This window comes from Homo sapiens, chromosome 7 (genome assembly GCF_000001405.40).
Source record: "Homo sapiens chromosome 7, GRCh38.p14 Primary Assembly".
NCBI classification, from domain to species: domain Eukaryota; kingdom Metazoa; phylum Chordata; class Mammalia; order Primates; family Hominidae; genus Homo; species Homo sapiens.
The window spans coordinates 133,015,718-133,036,396 of record NC_000007.14 but is presented as its reverse complement, the minus strand read 5'-3'; the positions used below and the strand labels follow the sequence as shown (position 1 = coordinate 133,036,396).

Genomic DNA, 20,679 nt, shown 5'->3' with positions numbered 1-20,679 from the left:
AAATTTAAATGTGAACATTTTATACTATTCTTTTAAAGATTTTAAATATTATATATGTATAATGCTTTATTAGATTAATTTCTTCCTGTTAAATTCCCTATGAACTGTGTAACTTGAGATAAAAATGTTACAATCATTTAAAAGTGTTAAAACATGCAGTAAAATCTTACTCATTTGGATTCATTTAATTTACAATTTGTCAGAAAATTAGAGAAGAATTATGTTTACTTACACTAACAGGATGGGAAAGGGGTCATGGGGTGAGAGTTGGGGAGGGTTTGGTAAGAAAATTCCCCTAAAGGAAATCTCAATTGCCTAGCGAATTATTTTATGAAATCATCATGTGTGTTGGATGTTACTATTTATGGAGAATAAGTTGGTATTCTAATTACTAGTTTCATTAAAACAGTTCCCCTAAGGACCCCTACCTGATAACACTTTTAAGACTGGATCCAGCCTTTCTTTGCGGAATCACCATGGCGGCTGGGACCCTGTACACGTATCCTGAAAACTGGAGGGCCTTCAAGGCTCTCATCGCTGCTCAGTACAGCGGGGCTCAGATCCGCGTGCTCTCCGCACCACCCCACTTCCATTTTGGCCAAACCAACCGCACCTCTGAATTTCTTCGCAAATTTCCTGCCGGCAAGGTCCCAGCATTTGAGGGTGATGATGGATTCTGTGTGTTTGAGAGCAACGCCATTGCCTACTATGTGAGCAATGAGGAGCTGCGGGGAAGTACTCCAGAGGCAGCAGCCCAGGTGGTGCAGTGGGTGAGCTTTGCTGATTCCGATATAGTGCCCCCAGCCAGTACCTGGGTGTTCCCCACCTTGGGCATCATGCACCACAACAAACAGGCCACTGAGAATGCAAAGGAGGAAGTGAGGCGAATTCTGGGGCTGCTGGATGCTTACTTGAAGACGAGGACTTTTCTGGTGGGCGAACGAGTGACATTGGCTGACATCACAGTTGTCTGCACCCTGTTGTGGCTCTATAAGCAGGTTCTAGAGCCTTCTTTCCGCCGGGCCTTTCGCAATACCAACCGCTGGTTCCTCACCTGCATTAACCAGCCCCAGTTCCGGGCTGTCTTGGGGGAACTGAAACTGTGTGAGAAGATGGCCCAGTTTGATGCTAAAAAGTTTGCAGAGACCCAGCCTAAAAAGGACACACCACGGAAAGAGAAGGGTTCACGGGAAGAGAAGCAGAAGCCCCAGGCTGAGCGGAAGGAGGAGAAAAAGGCGGCTGCCCCTGCTCCTGAGGAGGAGATGGATGAATGTGAGCAGGCGCTGGCTGCTGAGCCCAAGGCCAAGGACCCCTTCGCTCACCTGCCCAAGAGTACCTTTGTGTTGGATGAATTTAAGCGCAAGTACTCCAATGAGGACACACTCTCTGTGGCACTGCCATATTTCTGGGAGCACTTTGATAAGGACGGCTGGTCCCTGTGGTACTCAGAGTATCGCTTCCCTGAAGAACTCACTCAGACCTTCATGAGCTGCAATCTCATCACTGGAATGTTCCAGCGACTGGACAAGCTGAGGAAGAATGCCTTCGCCAGTGTCATCCTTTTTGGAACCAACAATAGCAGCTCCATTTCTGGAGTCTGGGTCTTCCGAGGCCAGGAGCTTGCCTTTCCGCTGAGTCCAGATTGGCAGGTGGACTACGAGTCATACACATGGCGGAAACTGGATCCTGGCAGAGAGGAGACCCAGACGCTGGTTCGAGAGTACTTTTCCTGGGAGGGGGCCTTCCAGCATGTGGGCAAAGCCTTCAATCACGGCAAGATCTTCAAGTGAACATCTCTTGCCATCACCTAGCTGCCTGCACCTGCCCTTCAGGGAGATGGGGGTCATTAAAGGAAACTGAACATTGAAAAAAAAAAAAAAAAAAAAAAGACTGGATCCAATTGCTGAAAGGACTTGAAAAGAATTATAGATGCATTTTTTTAAAAGTATCATATATGTTTAGATTTTACTCATCCTTGTTGCTTTCTTACCATTTATTCTAGATAGTTTAATATTATATGCTTTAGTGAAAGCTAACTTATTTTTGCTGTTTATAGAGAAATTATTTCTTATTATACCCTCACTTCCTTAATTTCAAAAAGGAATCTCTGTGAATTATTATAAGTTAATTCAGGATGAGTAGCTTTAAATCCTTTTTCTTTTTCCTTCATTATAAACATGATATGGCCTTATTGAACTGTTTGTTCAGTATTCATTCTGATATTGTCATATATAAAACATAGTTTTAAATGGTCAAGCGCTATCCTGTGTAGATAATTTTGATGGGAAATGTGTCAGCTTGAAATAAATCGATGTTTGGGAAATTGTTCTCTTAAAGACGGTAATCTGAAAATGTGAATGCTAAATAATGAAAACATTTGTACAGTTTGGGGGTAGATGAGTTTTAATCTGTTTCTGGCATCTGTACATTCTTGTGATATCTCACAGAGACCTGGAGTGTTTAGGTTGCAATTTGTACCCACCTTTTCCATTTCTATTGAATTAATAATGGAGCCCTCATCCCTCTAGGACATCAGGAGAGAAAAAAAAATAGACAATGTGATGATTAGCAGAGAGTAATTTTGATTACCCTAAGGAAAATTAAGATGATCTTTATAAGTGGACCGGGCAAAATGTGGTTTTGGTGAGTATGGAGCTAGAGAAAGCTAGTCATGTTTGGGCACCTTAAGGCAGAGATCATGTTGGGGAAAGATATTTTGGTGTCATCCAAATGTTTATCTGTTTGAAAAATCCATATAAATATTAGTAGATTATTTGTGACTATCTATCTGTGGTCATACAAACCATAAAATAGCTAGATTTCCCACTTTTTTTCATTTATCAGGGTGAATATTTTAGCCCTGTCTAAAACAATGGTGCGCAGTGGTGGGGCAATACTGTACCACTTTAGAAAGTGTTTGAGTAGTACCCCACTTGAGGAGTACGGCACCACTTCAGGCACTTTAGGAATTTGAGGGAAGCTGTGGTGTTTAGTGGCACGGGGAGGGATCTTCATGGCTAGCAGTGCCTGGGGGTAGTTTCCCATCTCCAAGAATTGTCCTGTGCCCTCTAACTTCTGAATGTCCCATCAGAGATTCATGGAGCTGAAAACCTATTTACCTGGCTGAGAACTTAGTTGTTTTATATATAAACAGAAAGTATGTTTTGCATGGTTTTAAAGTATACTGAATTTTCCAAGAGTGAAACTACTGTGTAACAATAGCTTTTGCATTTGTGATGATTTAGCACACAAACTCAAGATTCAGACTGTTTTATTATGTCTGCTAGGGTAGTTATGTTTGAACGTTTACATAATGAGATGCCATTATTTTATTATAAATTAGCTTGTTTTATTTAAATATTACACTTAGGGCATTATATTGATTACTTTTCTTGGTCACACAGGACCATTTGCGTGAAATGGAAAAGAGCTTGGGTGGTTTCTGTACTTCATTTAGTTTGGAGAGTTAACACTGTATTATAGTTTTATCTCCAGTGAACAAAATATAATCATTTTTGAAACAAAAAAATTAAGCTATGTATCAGAAAGCAATATCCAAAGGTAATTATTATTTTTTAATTTAAATTATAGATCTTATTTTCCTGGAGGCTGTGTGAGATCTTGCAACTATTATTCAGAATATTAAGACATGAAATACTAGATATATCTGATTCTCAATACGGGTTTTAGGAATTGTCTACTTAAGATGTCTAAACTGTAGAATATGAATTACGAGCTTATCTCTTGCTATACGGCTATAGCCCAGTATTGATGTTTTCTTTCCTACATGGAATGGAACATGGAGCTAGTTTCTATGGGTGCTTATTGTGAAGCAAACAATAAAATGAACATTATTTGCGTAATATGCCATTCAGATGAGAAATTTACAAAGGTATATACATCCTGATGGAGTGATAATGCTACAAAATAAGCCATTAACTTGATGCTGTTGATGTTCAGGTTGCCAAACTCTTCCTAACACTGCCTTCTGGTACAGTATTTATGATTATGAATGTGCAGTGCAGAACTTTCATTCTACCATCTTCATTAACTTTAATGCGTAAGTAGCCACAGTTACCCCTGCCAGGTAGTAGACAGATGCCATTTGTTTTGAAGGCACTCTTAAGATACATTCTCCTTATAGGATGGTGAAGGTAACTGTCAGCTGAATATACCTATATTCTCTGTGTGCCTGGTTTAAATCAGGTTTATTTGTCTGCCAACTAAATGGTGCCACAAATGGATAATAAACATGTTTATTTCTAACTCTTGAGATTTATCCTAGTCATCTTTTGGCTCTTCTTCCAATCAAACCCTGTAGCTTTTAGAAGATAAGGAGCAGGACAAGATTTATCCTGTAACCTATGCTGTTAGTCATTTAGCTCTAATATACTTGGTGTTGTATTTCATTGATTGCATGGATGCTTTGATTATTATTTTCTTAAACAATAATTGCTCTTCATTTTAATGAATTTATTGAAATTATAAGATTAATGAGTATTTCTATTGAGCTGAAAATTTAATTTGGCTATATCTTATGGTATAACTTTTTGCTCAACTATCTCAATCCTGGGAGAATCAGAGTCTTTATCTGAAATCTGCTGCTTATATTATGCAGGTACATATATTTATTTTGTTCTCTTGGAAGATCTTCATGGTTTCTCTTTAGTGTGTTTAAACTAGCACATGAAAATAATAGACTTTACAAAATTGGCCATGACCTATATCAGCAAATGGTGAAACCAGAAAGAAAAATACATTAAAGGAAAAATCCCAAAGGAACTGATATTTCTCTAAGAAGCAAGGTATAACTTTTATTAAGCAACTTAAAGAGATTGTTTAAGAAATACTGTAATTGGGGAGGGAATTATAGTGTAAGGATTATGCAAAAAAAAAATGAAGTAAAAGGGAATTACAAGTGGGAAAAGTTACAAAGGAAATTAGTATGTTCCTTGAGGTTCAGGGAATCTATGTATATTTCAGATCATGGTTGCATTTTCAGTCTTCTGTTTTTCATGGTTGATGAGTTCATCAAGTCCTTCCATCTTTTGGAGTCATTTCTATTCACCATTCAAGGATCTATCTAAAATGTATAATTATGTCTCCCCGTACCATTCCCTCCCTTCATATCTTTAGTTTAACCAGTTTCGGTAAACACAGGAATTTGAGCATCACCTGTCACATAGAAGACAGGTGATGTGTATTGAACTTATGTTACACTTTCTTTGAGGAATAAGAATTTCCTCACATTTCCTAAGAATACTCAGGATCAAGTATAAGTTTAGGAATCTTGGACTTTCTTATTTGATCCTGAACTCAAATTTATAGCCCAGAAATTTTGGTGGCTAAGTGGGTCAAAAGATTCCTAGGCAAACCTTAAAGAAGACCCTTGGACTAGCCAAAGCATTTGTTTAGAATATTGTTTAGTAAAGACAAACAAAAATTTGTTAGGAATCCAGAGCTGCTTTCAATCATCCAAGTATTTATTATTTTCAGTAATGGTTTCAAGTAAATGGTTTAGAGCCACACTTGCTAGAACTAAGCAATTGCAATGCTTGGCTTTTTCTGACATGTTTTATGATCAGTGTTTATATCTATAACTAATTGACAAAATGCCAGTGTTTGTGTTCTTTAAGATACATTCACCATTGAGAAAGAAATTAAAATGGTTTCTGAGAAGAATTTTAAAAAGTACAGACTATACAAGTATGGAAAGAAAACATTCTTTTGTCTTAACACATTTCTAAAAGGAGAGTATGTGTGTATATAAAAGCCATGGAACCATACTTACTGAACTTGAAATAGTTTTGCAAATTTCCATGGCAAATGGGATTTATATTGCTTGAACATTTTTTTGTTTTTACTCCTTTTCTCATTTCACAAACTTTGCCAGTTCCCAAAGATTTGCTTGGAAACTCACTGTGCTAATAGGCAAAGTTGGCCTTTCTTGTGCTTCTCTTAAACTAGCCCTTCCTGAAACACTGACCTTTTAGTTTAATAACAGTTTTATTTGAGAAAATGTTCAGATCCTGGGAGCTGAAAAGAGTGTTTTCAGAAAGGCCATTTTAAATAGTGGTCTCCAAATGCTGTATCTTTTTCCCTCATGCACTTTGGGTCAGACCTATCAGAAGAAATACAGTATTGCTTTATGTATTCTATTGATTTAAAAACAAATACCATGAAGCTTAGATGTGCTCAGAACCCATTACCTCACTGGTTTATTTTCCTGGCTGTGCTTTGATTTGCTATTTTAGATTTCAAACTCTTTATGCTAGGTCATGTTTTTATTTTCTGTTATTTTAACTTCTCATTTGTAGCTAAGGTAATTACTTTTTCAGTTGTGACCTTGGACTTGACCCAAAAGTTGTGATTTTTTTTTTTTTTCCTTTTCTGGAAATAGGTAGGGCATTAGAAAGATAGCTGTGCTTTGGCTCCTTTATGGACCAAAAGTGATGTCAACCAGCTGGTCACTTGGACATGTCTTTTTCAGTGGCCATGGGAGTGTTCCTGTCCCTTTCATTGCTGTTGTTGTCCTCTTCCCACGTTTTTCTCTCCTCTCATGGCCTACCTGGACGATGCCACCTGTAATCTGTATCTCTTTCTCACCTCACCCCACAGCAAGTGGCAGGGCTGATGATAGTAGGGAGAAGGGGATAGAGAAGGAAACAGCAAGCCTCCAGTCTGCATTTTCTTCACCCCAAACCACTTCCTCTCCACATTCTCACCTGGATGGCTTCGTGCCTATCCACCCAGCTGGTCACCGTTTGATCACACTGGAATAAACAGCTCGCTGCTGATTTGAGCTTTTCCTCTGGTAGGAAGACATCCCTATGTTATAGGCATAAAGTGCACTATGAAGATATGACATTGTGCCAAGTGAAATAAGCCAGACACAGAAAGACAAATACTGTATGTTCTTACCTATATGTGGAATCTAAAAAAGTTGAGCTCTAGGAAGCAGAGTAAAAGAGTGATTACCAGGGGATGTGGGATGGGGAAATAGGGAGATGTTGATCAAAGAGTACAAGCTTTCAGTTATAAGATGGTGACTTTAGTTAATAATATTTTTTACTTGAAATTTCATAAGAGAACAAATTTTAAGTGTCCCCAATGTTCCCCACCCCAATGGTAACTGTGTGGTGCTCGATATATTTGTGGTAATCATTACATGATTCATATCAAATCATCACATAGTTCACCTTGAATATATATGATTCTATTTGTCAATTATACCTTAATAAAGCTGGAAAAACCAAACTGCTTAATCTCTTTTCTGTTGCTTATAACAGAATACGTAAAACTGGGTAATTTATAAGGAAAAGAAATTTGTTACTTAATGTTATGGAGGCTTTGAAGTCCAAGGTTGAAGGGCTGCATATGGTGTGGGTCTTCTTACTGGTGGGGACTCCTGTAGAATCCCTAGGTCATGCGGGGCATCACGTGGTGAGGGGCTCAGTATGCTAGTCCAGCTCTCTCTTCTTTTTCTTTTCTTTTCTTTTTTTTTTTTTTTGTGAGATGGAGTCTTACTCTGTCGCCCAGGCCGGAGTGCAGTGATGTGATCTTGGCTCACTGCAACCTCCGCCTCCCGAGTTCAAGCGATTCTCCTGCCTCAGCCTCCTGAGTAGCTGGGATTGCAGGTGTGCACCACCATGTCTGGCTAATTTTTGTATTTGTAGTAGAGACAGGGTTTCACCATGTTGGTCAGGCTGGTCTCAAACTCCTGACCTCGTGATCTGCCCACCTCAGCCTCTCAGAGTGTTGGGATTATAGGCGTGAGCCACCGCACCTGGCCTTCTTTTTCTTTTTAAGGTACCAGTCCCACTATCATGATAAACCATTAATCCATGCATGGATTAACCCATTCATGAACCCTCATGTCCCAGTCTCACCTCTTAAGGGCCCCACCTCTCAATACTGCCACAGTGGGAATTAAGTTTCAATGTGAGTTTTGAAGGGGAGAAACATTCAAGCCATAAGCACAAACAGACAAAAAACCCAAGACAACAATAAGAAAGATGTGATACAATTTTATTAGTTTACTTAGAACACTGATCCCAGTGCATCATAGTTACTCTCTGAGGTTTTACAGAAGCCTAGTTTTAATTGAATTAAATTAAATTGAATTTTGATTGAGAATCCTGTTGAATTTTGCCTGAGAAGTATCTTGCTGTTGTAACTTGAAGTAATCTAGGAGAGGCAGCATGATTTTACATATACCATTTGACTGTGAGTTGATACTAACTGGTATGATCAATCATACTAATTATGTTAAATATTTGTTTCAGTTTTTGCTACAAATGGAGCTACTGGTTGTATGCAACTTGAAAAATTTTAGTGTCAGGTTGTTTTACTTTTTTATGAGAAGTAGATGAAAGTATGAAAATCATTACCTTGTGAAGTCTATAGTCTAGAATTTCATAGCTAACAGGTGTACCCATATGTCATATTTTTAGGTGGGGAAACTAAAATTCAGTTAGATTAACTGATTTATCCAAAATTTGGCTAGTTGAAAAGCAGACTATTTGGACTTTTTGTGGAGCTCTTACTGCCTGAAATTTCTCTGCTTTTATTTGGATCGTTTAAAAATCTTTCATACTTTCATAAAGAGCTCTAATACTTGCCTGAATGCAAACAGAATTCTGTTCTAGGGGTTTCCTAAGTTTTGTTTGACCCCTTCAAAGTAGAGGCTTATATTTTTCTCATGCTATATAGACTATGAAGTAGGAGAGAGGCAAAACAGAAGCATAGTATACAGTTGGAAGGGTCCCTAAACACCCATTTGAGAAAAGGTTGTTCTCTTGCTGCCCAGAGAGGTTAATACCTTTCCCAAAGTTCCCCTAGATTGTTGATGGCCATGGTGGGATTAGACATTAAATAGTTTTTCCTCTATTCCCTGATTCCCTGTATAGTGTTCTTTTTATTCTTTTCTTTCCTCTTCCTCTCCCCCCCTCCCTCCCTCCCTCCCTTCCTTCCTTCTCTTCATTTCTTTCTTTCTCCCTCTCTCTCTCTTTCTCTCTCTCTCTCTCTCTCTCTTACAACTTATTAAGGTACATTTAGCATATCATAATATTCATCCATTCAGAGTGTGCAGTTCAGTGGTTTATAGTATATTTATAGAGTTGTGCAACCATCACACAATCTAGTTTTAGAATATTTTCGTCTGGGCATGGTGGCTCATGCCTGTAATCCCAGCACTTTGGGTGGTCGAGGTGGACAGATCACCTGAGGTCAGGAGTTCGAGACCAGCCTGGCCAACATGGTGAAATCCCGTCTCTACCAAAAATAACACAAATTAGCTGGGCATGGTGGCGCATGCCTGTAATCCCAGCTACTCGGGAGGCTGAGGCAGGAGAATCACTTGAACCCAGGAGGCGGAGGTTGCAGTGAGCCAAGATCACGGCACTGCACTCCAACCTGGGCAACAGAGCAAGACTCAGTCTCAAAAAAAAAAAAAAGAATATTTTCAATATCTTAAAAAGAAATTCCATAATTCCATACCCATTAGCTGTCATTCTCTATTTTCTGCTTTCTCCTACTGCAGGGAACTACTAATCTACTTTCTGTGTCTATGGACTTTTCTATTCTGGACATTTCACATGAATGGATGTAGCAGGTGACCTTTCATGTCTGACTTCTTTCCCTTAGCGTAGTGTTTTCAAGATTCATCATGTTGTAGCATGTATCAGTAGTTCATTAATTTTTATGGCTGAATAATATTATATCGAATGGATATACCACATTTTGTTTGTCCATTCATCAGTTGCTAGGCACTTAGGTTGTGTTTAGCTTTGGGATGTTGTGAATAATGTCACTGTAAATACTCATGTATGAGTTTTTGTATAGACATGTTTTCAAATTTTCTTGAGTATATATAGTACCTAAAATTAGAATTGCTGGGTTATATGGTAACTCTTTAGCATTTTGAGAAATTGCCAAACTGTTTTCCACAGTGGCTGAGCCATTTTGCATTCCCACAAGCAATGTGTGAGGGTTCCAATTTCTTTACATCTTCACCAACACTTGTTATTGTTTGTCTTTTTTATTATGGTGGGTTTGAAATGGCATATCATTATGATTTTGATTTGCATTTTCCTAATGACTAATGCTGTTGAACAACTTTTTATGTACTTATTGGCTATTTGTATATCTTCTTTGGAGAAATACCTATTTATAGCCTTTGCCCATTTTAATTGAGTTGTCTTTTTATTATTTGTCTGTAAGAGTTCTTTATATATTGTATATCCTATATACGTGCATACTCTGGATACGAGTCCCTTGTCAGCTAATGACTTGCAGATATTTTCTCCCATTCTGAGGGCTTTTTAGCTTTTTGATGGTATCACTGGATGCTGCTGTTGCAGTCTGATAGTCCTCAACTAAGGGAAGTCATCCTTCTGATCTTTCATGTATCTTCTTTGTGATTGCCTCATGCCAATGAAATATTTGAAAGGGCTTTTGCATATCCTATTGTAAATAATATTTTTGCATATGCTGTGGGACTAAGCATTTATAATGTCGAGGTTATCGAAAGAGACACTGCTGTCTAGTTTTCCATCTGATAGGCTCAACTATTTGAAATAAAACTTAGGTCCTGGCCAGGCGTGGTGGCTTACGCCTGTAATCCCAGCACTTTGGGAGGCCAAGGTGGGCGGATCATGAGGTCAGGAGATTGAGACCATCCTGGCTAACATGATGAAACGCCATCTCTACTAAAAATACAAAAAATTAGCTAGGTGTGGTGGCACATGTCTGTAATCCCAGCTACTCGAGAGGCTGAGGCAGGAGAATTGCTTGAACCCAGGAGGCGGAGGTCACAGTGAGCTAAGATCGTGCCACTGCACTGCAGCCTGGGCAACAGAGCGAGACTCTGTCTCAACAAACAAACAAAGAGAAAAAAACCAAAAAAGACCTTAGGTTCTGTGGATATTCCTAGATCCTCCTAAGTGCTTCTGGTGCTTTCTTGTTCGTAATTTTGGGTAGTAGGTCTGTAGTGAAGAGGAGTTAGTCTTTGTTTATTTCTTGTGGAAGCCTCTTAAAGACGTGTGTGAAATTTGTCCATTTTATTTACCATCATAGCTGTAAGAAACTTTACAAAACATACCACACACAGTCTTCTAATTGGAAAGACCAGATGTTTCAAATCCAGTCACCAGGTATTTAGAAAGCTCCAGCTGTGTTATCAGCACTCTTCTCTGTCTCTCTCCAGTTGCTGGCACTTGAATTTGAATGACATGTATTCCAAAAAATAGGGTTTCAAAATTTTCATAAATGACAAATGGCTTTTTTCATAAATAATGGAAAAATGAATGTAACTATAAATGATTTGCTCTTTGTAGTACATGATTTTGTTAGTTGTTTAATTATTGAAATGAGAAGATTTTTTTTTGTCATTTTCTTCTCCAAAGTCCCTTTCTTACAGCGTCTCCTCTCCTTACACACCGTTGTCAGACTTTAATGTTAGGACATCATCTTAAAGAATTGGTCCTTACTGACTCAGTCCCCACTGTACAGTAAGCAGTTCCTTGAGTTTGTTATAAATTTTGGCAGGAGTGGAAATCTAGGTCACTAGGGAACTCTTGATTAAATTACTCCTGAAGTGCACTAATTGGCCTTTTCCACAGTGCTTGAGAAGTTCCAAGGAGACGCTGGCCACTTGGCAGAACTTTGCCTGTTCAAATCTAGTCTCAGCCGGGCTTTCCTGAGTATTTTCTTGCTTTTATTTTTAAGAAGTCACCTATTTTATCTCCTTCTGCTCTTTATCGATTCTAGTTTCTGATGAAGAATTGAAAAGAAGAGTAGCTGAGGAGCTGGCATTGGAGCAAGCCAAGAAAGAATCCGAAGATCAGAAACGGTGAGTTTTGTGGTATCAGAGAGAGGTTTTGGTGGGTTTTGTCATATTTACCAGTATTTTTAGAGAAGAATGATTGTGATAAGTCTCATTATTTGTGTATGACTGAACTTCAGAATGTGCTGAACACATGAACTTGGCCATTTTCGGTTTTAGATTGTGCCTCTTAGAGCCTTGGGTTACCTGCTTCCCAAAGCTGACTGTGAATTACCATTATATCTCTTGTATTGGTTGCTTGAATATTGAGCCGTGTTTTCTCAATATGTGAGAAGGAGTTTTTGAGTATTCTCCAGGAATTTCCCAGTCGATCAGCAAATGTATGCATCATTGAAAATTATATTGCCTGCCACAGGCACTAAAGTAAATATTTTGGCTCATGATGAATATCGTGTGTGATACATAGTGCCCGGATTAACAAATAGCACTAATTATTATTCTGTTCACGTAAAAAAATTAGGATGTTACAGACATAAGTAAGGTTGGAAATAAAAATCCTGTTTCCATCCTCTGAAGTTAACCACTTTTTAACATTTTATTGCTCGAGATTTTTTCCTCTGCACACACTTCCATCTGATTGTTGCCATTATTAATACTACTAACAACAGCTAAAAGAATGTTCATTGAAGTGTTTTTGTAACAGTAGAAAATTGGAAGCAATCCAAACCGACCATCCTCGAGGACTGGCTGAATTAATTATGGTACATGCCTGCAATGGAACACTAGACCATCAGTTATAGCCCTGTGTGCTGATTCAAAAAGATGTTGACGAGCTATCCACTGAAAAAAACACCATGAAAGGATTTTAAAAAAGCATTTTTTTTAAATACTACTTTTTGAAGTTTTAGAGTAGGTACTTATTCATAAAAAGATGGGAAAACATTTTAATCTAAGATAAAGTGCTTCCCATCTGTACTATTTCTGGAGTTTGCACATAGCTTAGAGAATTATGATTACATGATCATGTGAATGTCTTTTTACTGTGAGCACCAAACACATGCTTGCCACTGAGCAGGTGCTTAGTTTGTATTTGTTTTGTTTTGAACTGCCCAACTATTTTGCTTGAGAGATCTAGAGGTAAGGAATCTTTGAATTGGATTGTAGTCCTCACTGGCCATAGGACCTTCACCATATAATTTAACCTCTTTGAGCCTTAAGTATTTCATCTTTAAAATGAGGGTTGTGAAAAATTATTATTTAATATTTCTTTTGACAAACTAACTCCCAATTTACACAAAATATACAGAACAGAATATGAATTTTAGATTAAGACTGCTATTTTCTTAGGAAATAGAGAAGGCTTATGACTTACAATTTAAAAAATCAAGATTTAATTAGTACTGCCAGAAAGGTCTCTGTATATTTCCACAGTTTCCCATGCAGTGCTTTATAATTATTTAATTGGGTTAGGTTGATAGACTATATAATTAGATAGTGAAGTTTAAATATTCCAAAAAAATTCAGAATCAATTTTTAAAAAAAGAGAATCAATATGTTATGGTAGAATTTCTTGTCTTTGAAATTTTGTTATTTTTAATTGAGTTTTATTTTAATAGGGGTTTTTTGGTTAGATTCTCATATTTAGTTTGCTTATTATATTTCACATAGGATTTTTTTTTTTTTTTTTGGTCTTCCCTTCTCTCCATATGGTGCAGGCTTTTTGTTAAAATAACTCACTGTGGGTTTTTTTTTTTTCTTCTTCTTCATTATTCAGCTTCCATTTGCTCTGCCTTGGCTCATGAAAGGGAAAGGGCAGATGAGATGAATAAAAGGTGCCAGTGAAAGCCAATTTCATATCTCAGGTGGAATGGGGTGGGCAGCCTAGCTGTAACCTGGACAAATGACTATTGATAAAGAATTTATTTTCTGTCACCTTTAAGGAGAGCAGAGGGTGGTACAGCCTTTGTATTATTTTTTCTTTTTTAAAAAAAGTTTTGTTTGAAGCCTCCTTCATGAAAACTTCAGCTGTCAAATCTTGGCAAAAAATGTGTGTTCATCTATATGATAGTTCTTAGGAGAATCAATAGCTATATTTTTCTTTCTTTTTTTCTACCAGAGAAGAAACTTCAGAAACAGCATTAAGAAAGTTTTGTGTGCAGTCTTTTAGCAGCAACTTTTTGGAGTCACAGAACATGTATACGTTATTGTATGTATTGCCTGAATTGAATCGAGATTTATAGGCAGTTTTAGAAAATAGCTCCTCTTGCCTTTGTACTGTTACTCATATGGTATATACCCTGCGTGCCAAGTTTTCTCTTTTCCCTCCAAATGCACACAAACCTGTTGACCAGTTCTCAAGCACTTCATAGCTGGACATACGCATCTACGTACGTACATTTTGAAGAAACTTGTTCGAGAAGGACTTTGTAATTAATTTCGATTGTGATATTTTTCTTTATAGAATATCTATTATCATTGTAACCCTTTTTAAATGGAAATTTTTTGTTTGTTTTTTGTTTTTTTTTGAGATGGAGTCTCGCTCTGTCACCCAGGCTGGAGTACAGTGGTGTGATCTCAGCTCACTGCAACCTCCACCTCTGGGGTTCAAGCAATTCTCCTGCCTCAGCCTCCCGAGTAGCTGGGATTACAGGCGCCCGCCACCACACCCGGCTGATTTTTTTGTATTTTTAGTAGAGACGGGGTTTCACCATATTGGCCAGGCTGGTCTTGAACTTCTGACCTTGTGATCCACCTGCCTTAGCCTCCCAAAGTGCTGGGATTACAGGCATGAGCCACCGTGCCTGGCATTTAAATGGAAATTTTAAAGCTCCATGAAAAATATAGTATAGTGAATCCCCATATCCCATGACACAGTTGTAACAATTCTTGTTTCATCCACATATCTAGTCACTCTACATATGTGGTGAGTGGTGAGGAAAAGTAGTACAATTTTAAACAGGTTGGTGAATTTTATGGCAGGGAAATATTCCAAAATGTCTTCTATCAGCATAGTTGAAATAAGTACTTTGTTTCAGTTAGATTTATTTAGTTGGAAGACTGAAATTTAACTCCGATTAGCTTAGAAAGCAAGGAAATTTTTAGGAGCATAAAGGATATATAGCTCAAAAGAAACAAATGGAAGACTTAGAAAACCATTAGCAAGGGGAGAACTGGATGTTTCTAAAACTGTGTGTGGTGAGGAAATAGTTCCCCAGCAGGAAATCATGATGAGCATTCCATAAGGAGGGGGAACGGATGCCGGGTGGCTGAATTTCTTTGCATGCCCCTGATTTTAAGATTTTAGTGTATTTGGTGTACCCTATGAAATATATTGCTGCAAGTTTTAACACAATACTTTATCTCTTAGAATTTTCTTATTGAAACAATTCATTAACACTAATTTTGAATTTTTGAAAACATATGTATATTCATAAGAAGGAAAAAGTAGGCAAAATAAATTGATTAAGGCAGTGGTTCTCAGCTGGGAGAGCATTTGATCCCCAGGGGGCATTTGACAATGTTTGGAGATATTTTTGGTTGTTAAAATTTGTCAAATGTTATTGGCATCTAGTGGATGGAGGCCAGGGATGCTGTTTAACATTCTGTAATGCACGTGACAGTCCTCACCTCCTGCTGCCCGCCGGCCCCCCTCTTATCCGTTCTCCCCCCACCAAAAAAGAATTATTTGGCTCAAAATGTCAGTTGTACCAATAGTGAGAAACCCAGGGCTAAGGTATTCTTCAAACCAGCCCACATTGGATTTAATTGTTCTGGATCACTTTTGGACTCAGGGTTTGATGTCTTTGTTTTTCCACACAATATCATATTCTATGCCGTCAAAACCTCGGTGACACAACATTCCTTAAAAGATTGCTCCACTCTTATTCCTGGAATTTTTCCGAGCTGCTGACAGCAGTTCTGCAAATTTTGATGCTTCTGTGCAAGCAATGACAACAGCAGCAGGACTGCCGCCTGGCAGATAGCAATTTTCAGATGCTTTTAGGTTTGTGAAAACGTGGAAAAATATGCATCCTAGAATTGATAAAATGCAGTCCATGTACACTTCAGACCATAAAATTTGTCAGCTCGGAATGACTTCTTGAATGTCTTACTTTACCTTCTACTTAATGCAGAAGCCCTTTTTAGGCATCTGTGACTGGTAGGGCCACATGCTTTTAGATTCCATTCAAAATCATCGAAACTGATGATATTTCATTAGGTCATCTAAAATTTACCCCAACCCCATTAAATCTCCACTCCTAAATCTAATGCAGACCTGCCATACTTAAAAGTTGCCTTAGAGGAGGTTTCTTACTAAGGCCACAGTGACAATACAGTTGCTAATTATTAGCATGATGACTATATATATTTTCATTTTTACAAAACATTTACATATGGACTCCCAATTCATTTTGTCTTAGATTTATCCTGTTTTATGGGGATCTTAAGTGATTTGCTTCCACAATCATGTCCCGCACAAATCGCTGATAGATTAGTGCACACACGAAAATTTTTGGGTCTAATTTGAAATCATGGTTTTGCTTATCAAAACATCTAGTAGACAGAATAGTTGCTCAGCGTACCGAGAATCCAGAGTAAATGCCTCTGTCGGCAGTCTGTTTTTGCTGTGATACTCAATGGTGTGTTTGGATTATAGCTGACCATATTGTGTTGTAACTGTGTAGGCCAATATAGCAAGGACATAATATGCTACAGTTTGAGTATAGACTTTAAAAATATGATTTACTTCTCCTCTGTGCCCTACCTCCAAAAGTCAGTCTTTGACAGCTAGAAAAATGTGACTACTTCTGACCTCTGACCTTTGGCATTTGAATTTCACCTCTTTACCTATAAAGGCAAGTGAAAGTGTTTCACTTATAATAACATTTTTTTTTCAAGAAACCAAGAAGAAAGGGAATGGCTGCTTGATGTTGGAACTAACTGTACATCAACCAAGATTACTTGCTCGCTATTTTTCAATGGACATTAGTTGAGATTTTTCCCGCACTTTTAGTTATTTGGAAAGTTACATTAGATTTGTAAGACTTCAAATAATCTATCTGGTATAATGAGTGGTTTAATAAATTAGTCATAAATTTTATCAGCCATCTGTGTTAGAGTATAGTGTAGTCCTTTTATTTTTCCATTGATAGCATTGTTGATATCATCAAATAAGGGCTTAAAACTTATTTGTACCTTTTAGTTTCTCATACTAATGGTGAAATTTACAGGGATGGTACCATCTGTTTAAGTTCATTATATATGATAATTTATCTTGATTTTTATTATTACATATGTTCTGCCTTTGAAAAAGGCAGCAAGAAAAAGGCAAAAGAAAAAGCAGAAAAAAGGAGGAGGGAAGAGTTCTGAAACAAACAGGAGTTTGTGGGTAGCATCATGTTTAAAATACATGATACAAGAAATCATGTGGCTGGGCCTGGTGGCTCATGCCTGCAATCCCAGCACTTTGGGAGGCTGAGGTGGGCAGATCACCTGAGGTCAGGAGTTTGAGACCAGCCTGACCAACATGGTGAAACCCCATCTCTACTAAAAATACAAAATTAGCTGGGTGTGGTGGCACAAGCCTGTAATCCCAGCTACTCGGGAGGCTGAGGCACGAGAATCGCTTGAACCCGGGAGGTGGAGGTTGTGGTGAGCCAAGATCGCGCCACTGCACTCCAGCCTGGGCAATAAGAGCGAAACTCCGTCTCAAAAAAAAAAAAAAAAAAAAAAAAAGAGAAATCATGCAACTAGCATGGTGCTTTTCACATAGTAAAGTCTCACAAGTATTTGTTCAGTTGAATGAATCACTGGGTCTGGAAAATCATGATAACCTTTTTTCTAGAAGGTGCAGTTCTATATTATGTATGTGGGCATATATCTATTCTACATTATATTAAAATAAAAACTTAAATTATCTCTTTGAAATTGGCTACTGACCAGAGACTATAGATACTTGTCTTAAAAATCTTTCTTTTAATTTAGTATAGTGTTGAACACTTGTTTTCCTGTCATAGACACAAATTACACAGTTATGAAAATTACATACCTTCAACCTGCATGTAATTTCTAGGTGTAAGTAATTAAAAAAACTTTTCAGGGAATCAGTACTATTGATAACTAATATTGATCAAGGCTTATAAAGGCATAGTTTTGAAATGATCTTATGAGATCAGTTAGCAGTCAGTATATTCTCAATGCAGTCACAACTGACACAGGCAAATGAATTTCACTTGTAATTTATAAATAGTTGCAAAGAAGGTTATTGCAGAAATTTGAGTTGTAGCTCTTCAGCGACACACAGCTGATGTCCAGGTGTAACCTATACCATCCTGCTGTGATGTGAGCATATTTCCCAGGCTCATTAGGCTTCACTGGAGGTAGTAGATGGTTTGTTGGCATTATTTCCAAAATATTCCTTTATATACTCCAACATTTAAGAGATCCTTCTGTAGTATAAAAGTCCCACTATTTTAGATTATTTTTTTATTAATCATATTTTTGCTGTTTTTTTAAATGCTTTATTGCATTGCTGTTGTTTTATACTCATACTTTTCCATTTGATTCTGCTTAACAATTGATAAAAAGACCTAACCAGTTCTGAATGTAGTAGGAACACGTCCTAGCCACCCAGTATTTTTCACTGGAAGGTGATTGGAAGTGCTGTGTCTGTACTAGGTATTGGAATCTTGTGCCATCTGCTACTTTCATTGTTTTTCTTCAGGTGGCAGTTTTCTATTTTTAATAGCCAACTGCTTTTTTATAACCAACAGTGATAGAAGTTTGGATTTTCTAGCTCTGTTTTATTCTTATTGTTTTATTTCTTTTTTCAAATCCAATTTTCTTTCCTACTGATGCTACACTGTTGTAAATCCTGTTTGAGAAGATATTTTTACATGTTAATATCAAACCTGGAAAACCAGAGTCAATCAAGCGTGCCATAGACATCTAACTTTTTTACTGGTTATAATAGCAGCAGTGATGTTTGACCACTTCTTGTTCACATGTTTCTTTTGACAGTAATTACAGTGTTTTCTCTCGTGAAGTGCAGTGTTTGAAGTCATTTGTGCCAAAGTCAATTTCTGCATTTGGAAGTTTCTAGGAATTGGTTTCTCAGTGTTATATAGCTGTAATAGTCTTGTCGAAGTGTCTCCATTACTTTTTGGTCTGGGGATGTGGAGTTTTAATGTACTCAGTCATTTATTATTCCTTGCATAAAAGATTAATGTTTATTGTCAGTATTATCACTGATTTATAAAAACAGATGACTGAGTTAGACACAGGTAATGTTTTTCAGTTAGCAGAACTAGATTAGAATTGGCCTGCCGCATTGCTCTACCTAGTCTGTTGCTGAAGTGATAGAATCATATAGGCTGTCATCATTACATAAACATTTTTCAAAGGGAGTGCAACATGGAACCCAAAGTAAAGCTGATTTAAGTGCTGTCTGGTTAAAGCTAGGACTAGGGACTTAGAGCTGTGTCAGCCTATTTTCTTCTTTTTCCTTCCTAAAGACCCAGGCCCTTGTGCTAACTGGGGCTTTCTTCAAGAAAACTTTGGTCAAGGTCATTTTCTCGCAAATTTGGACACTTTGTGTTTGAGGAGTGTACTTTCCTTACCCAAATAGCATTTGTTGGATAGACTCGATTCTGTTTCTGTTTTAAAAGGTGGGTGGACAGTGGCCTGTTGTCCATTTCCTTAATCCGGAAGTCCGTGTTTATGGGCAGTGGTCCACATAGGCTGGACCTAGCCCTGGCTGTTTCTTAGTCCTGGGCCTTCTGGAAGCCATCTGTTGATCCTGTTGGTAATGCTGTGTTAGGAACACTGGAGAAGAGTGTGAGGTCCTTCTGTGCAGGATCTGGAAATACTGGAGAATATTCAGAGAGAGTCCCTGTTTCCCCTCCTGACCTCCATAGCTTTGCCAATATAGCCTCGAGCTAAAAAGGAATGTGGGCAACACAGTTGTAAATCAAATGTAAATTTTCTCTCCAGATTATAATACTTCCAAACATTGGCACCGTTTCCTGTTCAAATAATAACCTTACCCCCTTCTTTTCTTGGTTGGAGCAAACTGTTAAACAGGAGTAGCCCATCTTAAATTTCTGTTTGATACTTTAGTGAGAGAACCACATTCTTTTGTATCCCATTCTTATTCAGAAGCAGTTGTCATTTGTCTTTGAAAACTTTCCTCACAGTTTTATACAGACACATACATAGAACATGCACACTGGAGTCACATATAATCTGTGAAAACGATTTCAGAGCATAGGATCCATATGCCCAACTACAATGTACCCACATTAACAAACACAGGGGTCATCTCTTACTTACTGTGTGCTAAGCACTGTTCTAAGCATTTTATGTATTTTCATTCATTTCAACTATATAACACCCCTACTGGGTAGGCATTACTGTTATCCTCATTTTATAAATGAGGAAACAGAGAGGGTAAGAAACTTACCAAGTTATATGGTTTGGTTCTATGTCCCCACCCACATCTCATGTTGAAATATAATCCCCAGTGCTGGAAGTGGGGCCTGTAGGAGGTGATTGGATCATGGGTGTGGTTTCTAATGGTTTAGCACCATCCTCCTAAGGCTGTTCTTGTGATAGATTTCTCATGAGATCTGGTTGTTTAAAAGTGTGTGACAGTCCCTCTCCCTCTTTCTCTTTTCCTCCTTCTCTGGCCATAAAAGATGTGCCTACTTCATCTTGCCCTTCTGCCATAATTGAAAGTTTCCTGAGGCCTCCCAAAATGCTGCCATGCTTCCTGTACAGCCTGTAGAACCGTGAGCTAATTAAACGCCTTTTCTTTATAAATTACACAGTCTCAGATATTTCTTTATAGTGATGCAAGAACAGACTAATACACCAAGGTCATATCTATCAAGTAA

General features: G+C 37.9%; 1 protein-coding gene, 1 non-coding gene and 1 pseudogene across 6 annotated transcripts in view, besides 1 other annotated feature; all 3 read left to right on the top strand.

The window, feature by feature from the left end:
• CHCHD3 (coiled-coil-helix-coiled-coil-helix domain containing 3) overlaps nucleotides 1–20,679 on the top strand; it is a 297,221-nt gene that overhangs the window by 45,694 nt on the left and 230,848 nt on the right. For 3 of the 5 annotated variants that reach the window (NM_017812.4, NM_001317177.2, NM_001317178.2), the window contains exon 3: nucleotides 11,770–11,851. In NM_017812.4, coding sequence (NP_060282.1) covers nucleotides 11,770–11,851 — 82 coding nt within the window. Of the gene's footprint in view, nucleotides 1–3,893; nucleotides 4,061–11,769; nucleotides 11,852–13,901; nucleotides 13,992–20,679 lie in introns of those variants that run through there. The other 2 variants (NR_133671.2, XM_047420549.1) reach the window with 2 other exon arrangements.
• LOC729998 (eukaryotic translation elongation factor 1 gamma pseudogene) lies at nucleotides 457–1,868 on the top strand (annotated as a pseudogene).
• Nucleotides 1,197–1,246: an enhancer, noted in NCBI's record as "active region_26681". NCBI's record gives its function as "activates an Ori minimal core promoter by ATAC-STARR-seq in GM12878 lymphoblastoid cells {active_cell/tissue: GM12878}" and the evidence as "EXISTENCE:reporter gene assay evidence [ECO:0000049][PMID:35858748]".
• Nucleotides 1,482–1,537, top strand: MIR3654 (microRNA 3654). The gene has a single exon (NR_037427.1). It is a non-coding gene; the product is annotated as a microRNA 3654 (primary transcript).